We start from the raw sequence: 10,620 nt of genomic DNA, 5'->3' as shown, positions 1-10,620 counted from the left end.
CACAGTTGACACCCCTGATACTGGAGAGAAGTCATTCAGCTGCCAGAGGGCAGCTGCCGGGAGGAAATCCCCTCTTCACACAAGGACCGAGCTGTTCTATGAGCCACCAGAGATTATTACCACTCAGTTATTATTACTGTAGTTGACTGCTCCATGAGCTGATGGTTAAATTACATTAACAATTATGGAAAATAGTGTGACACTAAAGAATTATTAAGTAGTTCATATGCATTGCTAATCTCCCACCGTTATACAGAATAAAAGACCAGATAAGATAGACAGTTGGTAGCTGCAGGTTTATCTGCTTATTTTTGGTGGGAAGATGTTTTCCCCCTAAAATCTACCATTAATTTATTCATTGACCAAAGGTTTATTGAATACCCACTGTGACTCAAACACTGGGCTGGCCTCTAGGTTTGAACTGCAAAAAAGATCAACATGGTCCCTTGCCCTTATATGAAGCTTAAAATCTAGAAGTTAGAAACTTCAAGAGTGTAAAGTATTTTGATGGCTAAGGGCAAGATGCTCTGGGAGTGAGTGCACAGGGAACAAACCTAGTCCAGGGAGGTGAGGTTCTCTAAGGAAATAATATCTTAGGTGACAACTGAATATGAATGTGAGTTAACAGGGGGAGGGAGGGAGGAAAGGGTGGGAGAGATTTCAGGCCAAAGAAATAACCACACTCTTATAAGTTAGCTCTTATTAAATTGAAAAATCAAGACAATATCTAAAAGAAAAAGGATATTCTAAGTGGAAAAGGCAAAAGTGAGATTTCAGACTTGGATCAACATCATTCCTTTTCCTGAGAATTTTGCCCTCTTGTGGCAGTTACCTGTCAATGACCATACTGTGTCAACAGGTTTCCTTAGATTCCTGGTACTTTTTGAGCTGGAGGTCTTTGCTTTAGAAAAGGACTATTCCATTGGTTTCCAAGTTTTGTTCAGAGGGACACCACTGATTATCTGCTTCCCACATGCGCCCATATTTTGAAAGATTTCTGTCAAACAAAGATACACTGGTTTTTGTTTGTTTTTTGAGAGATGGTCTCACTCTGTCACCAGGCTGGAGTGCAGTGGCATGATCATGGCTCACTGCAGCCTCAACTTTCCAGGCTCAGGTGATCTTCTCACTTCAGCCTCCTGAGTAGCTGGGACTGCAGCACACGTCACCACGCCTGGCTAATTTAAAAAAAATCTTTTGTAGAGATGGGGTCTTGCTATATTGCCCAGCTGGTCTTGAAATCCTGAGCTCCAGCAATCCTCCCACCTCTGTCTGCCAAAGTGCTGGGATTACAGGCATGAACCACCAGGCCATGCCCGATACACTTCCTTTTCCTTTTTTTCTTTTTTTTTCTCTAACTTGATTATCTTGGTTACATTATTAAGTTGATATAATTCTATATAAAAGCAAAGAAATTTGTTTTTGTGTTTTATTTGGCCTTGTAAACTCTAACTCTGCCTTAATAAAGCTATCTTGCCTCTCTGTGGGATCATTTCCTCATCTGAAAATGGAAATGATAAAATAAATATAACAACATCTACTTTTAAGTAACTGTGAGGAAAAATGAGCTGTTAAGAGGGTACTTAGTAAATGTTTATTCCTTTTCTAGCCTTCTCATGGGCAAAAGTTTGGTTTTAGTAAGCTTACTAACCCCCATTCATATCGCTGAGCTCCCTACACCCAAAATTCAGGGATCCCAACCTTGGAGTTTAACCCCAATCTAGTTCAACCTTCTTATTTTATAGATGAAGAAACTAACAGCTAAGAGGAAGGAAGTGACCTCATTTCTGCCCTTGATCTTAATTTGTATATCAGCTTATTTACAGTCATTATTAAAAAACCGGTGAAAATAAGGGCTTAATTTGTATATCAGCTTATTTGCAGTCATTATTTAAAAAAAAAACAACAGTGAAAATAAGGGCCAGGGCCTCCCAGAAATAAAAAGAAGCCCACTGTAGCAGAAGAGTGAGCAAGAGGGAGAAGGCCGTGCAATTAGGTTGAACAGGTAGGCCAGGCTCAGACCACACAGGGCCTTCTGGGCAATTTTAACTATTTTTTTAGTCCCTGTTCTAGGGGCATGGGCATAAATAATGTCAATGTTATCAGTTGAAATTTGGAAACATCTGAACAACTGCATTTAAAATTTTTCATCCGTATGTTTGTAATAGTCAAAAATCACAGGTTTAAAGTTGTAAACTATTGTGTAAGCTGACAACAAGAAATTAATCTGTTTCCAATGAAGATCAGAGCCTAAAACAATGGGCTTAAGTAGACAAAAGAAATTTACATTGGATATGGAGGGCAATTCTTGACTAAATGTTATGTGATACTGGCCATGTTACTGAGGCTTCTCTATCCTGGAAAAGTATATCTAGGCAGCAATATTCTCAGATCGTTACGAATCTGAGGGCTTTAAAACCATGGTCCATGCAAGATGAAGATTTAAACCATCTAAAGAACTTTTAAAATATATTTCAGATATTGGAGTTCCAGTTTGACTTCCTTTTAAAAAAGTTCTGTGGAAAATGGATGCAGAGTTTGAAAATAGCTGGATCTAGAGTATCTTTCATACTAGCTATTAGTCAGTAATGTGATTCTAAAACCTAATTTTGTCTTATATTTATCTTATATTTATCCATTTCAGATCTCTCTCCTGTGCTCCAGAACCCTATATTTAACAGTCATTAGACACCTCTACTTCTTATCCCACAGACTTAACCTTCTAAAACTTGATTTAGTCTTTTTCCTCCTAACTGCTCCTAGCCAAGTGAATGTAACCACCACCATTTATCTGTTAGCCCAAACTGGAAACTGGGGAGCCAATTTTGATCTTTTCCTTTGTCTCCATGCTTACCAGCTATCTGTCTTATGGATTCCAACTCCTCAGAACCACTTGGATTAATTAACTAATTAACTCTTCTTCTCCACTTCTGTTACAGTTGCCCTCCCTAGATCCTCAACAGGGTTACTGCACCTGCTCCCTGAGTGATCTCTCTGTCTAGTCTAGACTGCTTCCAATCCATCTTCTATACTGCTCTCCACCAAGTGAGCTTTCTAAATACAAATCTGATCATGGCACTGCCTCTTTAAATGCTTTCATTGTTTCCCACGTCTGTGAAAAGTCCACACTCCTTAGGATGGTGTGCAAAGTGCTTCACCCTCTCTCTCTAGCATCCTTCCTCCCACTCCATTTCCCTTAATTTTTAAACCTAGCTATGCAAACTTCAGGCACTTTGTCAGATGTGCCAGGCCCTCTCTCACTGTTGCCATGCTGCTCTCTTGGCCCAGAATGTCCCTGCTTTCCCTTCCTCATCCTTCATGATTGAACTTAGTTATTAGTTCTTCCATGAAGCCTTCCCTCAACTTCTCTACCCCAGCCTGAGAAAGGTGCTCATACTATGAAAAGGACTGTGTAATTGTATTTTGCAGTTTACAAAGTTCTTTTACATATATAATCATTTAATTCTTGTAAAAGGATAGATTGGGTAGACTTGTATCCATTTTATAGATGACATACAGAATCATTTAATTCTTTTTCAAAGGCTAGATGGGGTAGATTAACATCCACTTTATAGGCAAGGCTGGGGGAATTGACATCCAAGGCCGGGTGACTGATTAGTGACAGAGCTGGGTTATGGTCAGAGACTGTGGCCTCAGTCTTCTGACTTCAAATGCAGTGCCCTTTTTCATCTAGCCTGCTGAAACAGAATCAGAGGAGAAAGCAGAGGGTGTGCCCTCCAGACTGTGGCAGGCTGCCACAGAAACAGAGAAATCATCCTGCCCGCTTCCACCTCCCCCGGTTCACTCTGATCTAGCCTAGCAGGAAATCTTTTCATGTAGCACAGCATTTCAGGCCGAGCAATGCATTTTTAAACTTTGAAAAATGACATTTCCCCTGACATTTCTGGAAGTACTTCCAAAAATGAAAGCCAATTAACCAGCAACTTTGTTGATTAATTCATTACCTAATTAGGGCTGTGAGGACATTTTGAAATAGTCAGATGAAAGAGGTTGGATAAGAGCACTAAGAACAGAAACTTTTCCTGATGTTTCAGGCTCTGTGGCTTGGGGCCTGGGGAAAATTGTATATTCAGGACAGAAAATGAAGGGGAGGACTTTTCTCTGAGAACAGATTTTAGTGGTCTGATTGAGTTGGCAACATGAAAGCCTGTTGGGGCATAAAGACTGAGAAGAACTCACATCTCCCCCCAGATTTGCCCTGTGGGCTAAATTGTGCCCTCTCCCTACCCAATCCATATGGTGAAGACCTAAACCCTTATGGGACTGTATTGGAGTTGGGGCTTTTAGGAGGTAATTAAATGAGGTCATAAGGGTGGAGTCCTAATGTGACAGGATTGATGGCTTTATAAGAAGAGGAAGAGAGAGACTGCTCACTCCCTCTCCTGGCCGGGCCTGGTGGCTCACACCTGTAATCCCAGAACTTTGAGAGGCCAAGGTGGTCGGATCACCTGAGGTCAGGAGTTCGAGACCAGCCTGGCCAAAATGGCAAAATCCCGTCTCTACTAAAAATACAAAAATCAGCTGGGCATGGTGGCGGGCGCCTGTAATCCCAGCTACTCAGGAGGCTGAGGCAGGAGAATCGCTTGAACCCAGGAGGCGGAGGTTGCAGTGAGCCGAGATTGCACCACGGCACTCCAGGCTGGGGTACAGAGTGAGACTCTGTCAAAAAAAAAAAAAAAAAAAAAGAAAAGAAAAGAAGAGGAAGAGAGAGATTGCTCACTCCCTCTCCCATGCACCAAGGAAAGGCCATGTCAGCACATGGTGAGGTGTCCACTGCAAGCCAGGAAGAGAGCCCTTACCAGGAACCCAAGCAGCTGGGCCTTGATCTTCAACTTCCAGACTCCAGAGCTGTGAAAACAATAAATTTCTGTTGTTTAAGCCACCTAGTGCATGGTATTTTGTTACAGTAGTCCAAGCACACTATAATAATTTCTATGACCACCTCAACCCTGGTACACTAAGAACAGATAGCTCAGCATAGGACTCAAATGGAAAAGCTAGACGGATTTCTGCCCACCCTTGCTTTGTGCCCACATTTAGAGGAGAAGACAGAAGGATTTGGTGCCTTCTTTGCTAGTGGGTGTCCTTCTCTTGACTTTTGTTTGTCTTTTTACATTTATTGCATTCAGATAACTAATTATTTATTCCTTAATGTGTCAGGTGCTGTTCTAATTTTTTTTTTTTTTGAGACTGAGTCTTGCTCTGTTGCCCAGGCTAGAGTGCAGTGGTATGATCTCGGCTCACTGCAACCTGGGTCTCCCGCGTTCAAGCGATTCTCCTGCCTCAGCCTTCCGAGTAGCTGGGATTACAGGCACCTGCCATCACGCCCTGATAATTTTTGTATTTTTAGTAGAGACGGGGTTTCACCATGTTGGCCAGGCTGGTCTCAAACTCCTGACCTCAAGTGATCTGCCTGCCTTGGCCTCCCAAAGTGCTGGGATTACAGGTATAAGCCACCGCGCCCGGCCTGTTCTAAACATTTTACACATATAAACTATTCCATTTAGCTTGAAACCTCAATTACAGGGCATGCCTGACACTGATGCTCCTTGTTACATAGTAGACTCGAGGTAACATTGATTTGCTTTGACTGCCAAACATTATTTAGAACACTTATGAGAAGGAGGCCAGGTGCAGTGGCTCACCCCTGTAATAGGAAGCCAAGGCGGGTGTATCACTTGAGGACAGGAGTTTGAGACCAGCCTGGCCAACATGGTGAAACCCTGTCTCTACTAAAAATACAAAAATTAACTGGGCATGGTGGCACACGCCTGTAGTCCCAGCTACTTGGGAGGCTGAGGCAGGAGAATCACTTGAACCCAGGAGGCGGAGGTTGCAGTGAGCTGAGATCGTGCCACTGCACTCCAGCCTGAGCAACAGAGCGAGACTCTGTCAAAAAAAAAAAAAAGGAAAGTCTATTCCATTTACCCGTACTTTTACCCTTTCAATTTTTTACTTTTCCTCCCTGATGTTCCAAAATTATTCTTTTATCGTTTCCTTTCTGTCTCAAGAGCATCTTTTAGGGTAGATTTGCTATTGACAAATTCTCTTAGTTTTCCTTCAGATGATAATGTCTTGATTTCCCCTTCATTTCTAAAGGGTATTTTCACTGGATGTAGAATTCTGGTCTTACAGTTCCTTGAAACAATGCTGTGCTACTCCCTTCTGACCATGGTTTCTGAGGGGCAATTTGCTGCCATTTTTATTTTTTCTCCTATGGATAAGGTGGTATTTCTCTCTCACTATTTTTGAGATTTTTTTTCTTTGTCTTTAGTTTTCAGGAGATTAACTGATATGTCTTGGCATAGATTCCATTAGGTTTATACTGTTCAGAGTTAGTCAGCTTCTTGAATCTGTTTTTATGTCTTTTGCTGAATTTCGGAAGTTTTCGGCCATTATTTTGTTGAATACTTTTTTAAGCCCCACCTTGTCTCTCTTCTCTTTCTGCAACTCCAATGGCATAGTATTAGATTTTTTGGGGGTTATAGTTACATAGGACTCTGAGGCTGCAGTCATTTATTTCCAGTCTGTTTTTTCTCTGTTTCTCAGAAATTGGGTAATTTCTCAGATTGGGTTATTTTTATTATCCTAACTTCAACTTCACTGATTGTTTACTCTGTTCTTCCCATTTTCCATTGAGCTCATCCATTGAGTTTTTCATTAGTATCTTTTAGTTCTAAAATGTTCACTTGATTCTTCTTTACGTCTTATATTACTTTGCTGAGATTTTATGTATTTTTGTTTTAAGTGCATCCATGTTTGCTCACTGAAGCATTTTTATGATAGTTGCTTTAAAAACCTCACCAGATAATTCCAACATTGTGTCCTCTCAGTGTTGGCTTCTGTTGATGGTCTTTTCTTATTCAAGTTGAGATTTTCCTGGTTCGTGGTTTGACTAGTGATTTTCTAGTGTGTTCTGAACATATTGAGTATTATGTTATGAGACCCAGATTCTTACTGAAATCCTTTGCTTCAGCAGGCCCCCTCTGGCACTGCACTAGTGGGAGAAGGAGTCCACTCTGTTGGTACTACCAAGTGGGGATGGAAGTACAGCTTCCCCCTCGGCTTCTGTTGACACCCCAGGGAGGCAGTTCCTTATTACTTCAGAACAGGGAGTTCATGCTCCCTGCTTCGCCTTCTCTGACATCATCCCAGTGGGAGAGAGGGGTCACCTTGTTACAGCCATGTTGGTAAAACTGGAAGTCTAGGCTCTGCACTAGCTCTTGGCCAGTGGGGGTGGGGCTGCAATGTTTTCTGTGGGGTTCGATTGGTGTTTTAATTTGTATTTTAGTTCTAAAATTTCTACTTGGTTCTTCTTTAAAAGTTAGAGTCTAAATATTTTCTGTCTTTCTAGGCTTCCCCTTTCCTGTTCCTTTGGCTAGAGAGAAGAGGCTTTTTGGGGACCTCTTTTTGTCTATACCCATTAGTGTTTGTGGGCTGCCAGCCTGTTCAGCTCCAAGTCTGGGATATAGGAGGCAAAAAGAAAACCCAGGGAACCCATCTGTATGTTGTTCCTCAGGTCTCAAGGTCCCTAGCCAGTCTCCCTTTTTCTCCACGTTTCAGATTATTCTTTTGTTATGTATCTCCAGGGATTTTAGTTTTACTTGGTGGAGGAATAGGAAGAAGTGAGTCTATTGTATCTTGTCCAGAACCAGAAGTCCTTTTTGTCAACTTTTGAAGAAGATCTTAGAAAATACATTCCCATTATCCTAAAAAAGTCTTAATGGAGTAGACAGTTGCAGTAGCACTTCTGAGGTAGTTAGAAGCTGGTTCATTATAGGTTTGATATTGTTAAATCCTTATAGCAACCCTTTGCGGCAGGGATTATGATACTCATTTAACATAAGCGAAAACTGAGTTTAAGGTTAAGGAAGGAGGGTGAAACCTGGTGTCCTTTGCAGTACATCATAAAGCCAAAAGATAAAGTTCCTTACCACCATCTTTTCCACTCTCTGAAAGCCACCATGCTTTGCACTTCACCAAGCAAAGTAAGCTGTCATGCTTGGGTTTTCCTCAGCTTCCTTTCCAGTTTACTTGCACCTCTCATTTCTTCACTCCTAGAGAAAGAGGTGCCAGTCTTTCTCTTCCAAAATGTCTCTACTTGCTCCAAATCTCATTCCCCCTCTAGGATCTCGCTTTCAAACCTTTTACCTCTCTCATATCTTTAATCTCTTCCTGTTGATTTTTTCCTCTTATGCTACAAAAATGATGAGGACCCTACCATCCCAAAAACATTGTTCTCTGACCCTTCCTTCCTGTAAGCCTGAGCGCCACCCCCTTCTGCCTGTCTGCTGAATCATTTGGCAAACACAGTCAGTGCTTTTGCACCCTTGTTTTGTGCCCACATTTAGGGGAGAAGACAGACGGATTCGGTGCCTTCTTTGCTAGTGGGTGTCCTTCTCTTGACTTTTGTTTGTCTTTTTACATTTATTGCATTCAGATAACTAATTATTTATTCCTTAATGTGTCAGGTGCTGTTCTAATTTTTTTTTTTTTTGAGACTGAGTCTTGCTCTGTTGCCCAGGCTAGAGTGCAGTGGTATGATCTCGGCCCACTGCAACCTGGGTCTCCTGGGTTCAAGCGATTCTCCTGCCTCAGCCTTCCGAGTAGCTGGGATTACAGGCACCTGCCATCACGCCCTGATAATTTTTGTATTTTTAGTAGAGACGGGGTTTCACCATGTTGGCCAGGCTGGTCTCAAACTCCTGACCTCAAGTGATCTGCCTGCCTTGGCCTCCGAAAGTGCTGGGATTACAGGTATGAGCACTTTTGCACAAAAAGGACTTCTGGTTCTGGACAAGATACAATAGACTCACTTCTTCCTATTCCTCCACCAAGTAAAACTAAAATCCCTGGAGATACATAACAAAAGAATAATCTGAAACGTGGAGAAAAAGGGAGACTGGCTAGGGACCTTGAGACCTGAGGAACAACATACAGATGGGTTCCCTGGGTTTTCTTTTTGCCTCCTATATCCCAGACTTGGAGCTGAACAGGCTGGCAGCCTACAAACACTAATGGGTATAGACAAAAAGAGGTCCCCAAAAAGCCTCTTCTCTCTAGCCAAAGGAACAGGAAAGGGGAAGCCTAGAAAGACAGAAAATATTTAGACTCTAACTTTTAAAGAAGAACCAAGTAGAAATTTTAGAACTAAAATACAAATTAAAACCTTCTACCTCTTGCATTTCAGCACACTGCCCGGTCATGCTGGCTCCTGGTCCCACAGCCATGCCAAATGCTCTCTGTGAGGACAAGTGACCTGCATCCAAGCCTCAGGCTAAGGGCCTTCTTCCTCCATCTAGGTACCTACTCTATCAGACTCATGTGAGGAGTTTCTAAAAACACCCACTCACCTGTTGATTCTGATATAGAGGGCTGAGGTAGAAGTCCGAATCTACTTTAATCTCCCAAGGTGATTCTGATGCATAGCAGGCTTGGACTTTGTTGCTGCATCTGACTCCTTCTCAGGGCTCCTTCCTCGTCCTTGAGGACCTCACAGCTCCTCCCTTCATCTGTGCCCATGCTAGGCTGGGTGGGTGGACAGACTGGGAAATTTCCAAGTCCTTGCTCACCAGGGCTGACTCAGCTGATAGTAACAACTGTAAAGAGTATAAAAACTTACATAATGTTTACTATTTGTCTGGCATTTTGCCAAGTACTTTACACTTACTTGACCTGACCTGGCCAGAGGAGATTATCCTTCCTTTGCCTGAAGGCCTTGTACTAACCCCACCTGAGGGTAATGTGTCTTATCCTCAATACCTGCCCCACCACCCTCTTTGCTTCTGGATTCATAACTAGAGTCAGAACCCAGTGTGGATAAGTGCTCAGTCTGACCCAGATAGACATAGCTGATCCATAAAAAGAACAGAAGAGTTTGGCCAATTAACATCAGCAACAACAGAATCATACATGTGGGAAAAGATTCTAAATATGGTAGTTCAATGAGGATGGAATATAATGTTGAATTGGGAAAATTTTACCAGTATTATGCCAGTACTTGAGATTCTGAATTAAATGCTTAGCTGCAGCAATGGGGGGTGGCTCTAACATTTACTTGCCTGGCCAGCTAAAACCTGGGTCCAATAGTGAACTACAGTCAATAAAATTGAGATGCCAAGACCTCCCTGGCATAATCTACATTAGAAGGAATCTAAGAGCTTCAAGAAGCAGGAATTACGGGTTACATTGTATGTGATCCACTGCTATGGGCTGAATAGTTGAATAGTGTCTCCCCCAACTCCACATTCATATGCTGAAGCCCTAACTCCAAATGTGACTGTATTTGGAGTAAGGAAGTAAGTGATATCATAAGGGTGGGACCCTGATCCAACATGATTAGTGTCCTTATAAGAGGAAGCACTAGAAAAATTACTGTCTCTCCACCTTGTGACGACACAGCAAGAAGGCAGCTGTCTATAAACCAGGAAGAGAGCCCTCTCCAGAAAGTGAATGGGCTGGCACCTTGATCTTAGACTTCCAGCCTCCTGAACTGTGAGGAATTAACTTCTGTTGTTGGAGCTACTCAGTCTATGGTATTGTATTATGTCAGCCCGAGCCGACTAAGACAACCACCTACTTATAACCACTGTGTCTGGA

General features: G+C 42.2%; 1 annotated feature.

Moving 5' to 3' along the window:
* Positions 8,937-10,136: an enhancer, noted in NCBI's record as "CDK7 strongly-dependent group 2 enhancer chr9:96767229-96768428 (GRCh37/hg19 assembly coordinates)". NCBI's record gives its function as "activates an origin of replication core promoter dependent on BRD2, BRD4, P300/CBP, MED14 and CDK7 cofactors, with strong dependence on CDK7, by STARR-seq in HCT116 cells {active_cell/tissue: HCT116}" and the evidence as "EXISTENCE:reporter gene assay evidence [ECO:0000049][PMID:35650434]".

Source organism: Homo sapiens, chromosome 9 (genome assembly GCF_000001405.40).
Source record: "Homo sapiens chromosome 9, GRCh38.p14 Primary Assembly".
Classification (NCBI taxonomy): Eukaryota; Metazoa; Chordata; class Mammalia; order Primates; family Hominidae; genus Homo; species Homo sapiens.
Note: the sequence above shows the minus strand (reverse complement) of the source record. Positions and strands in the feature narration are given on the sequence as shown.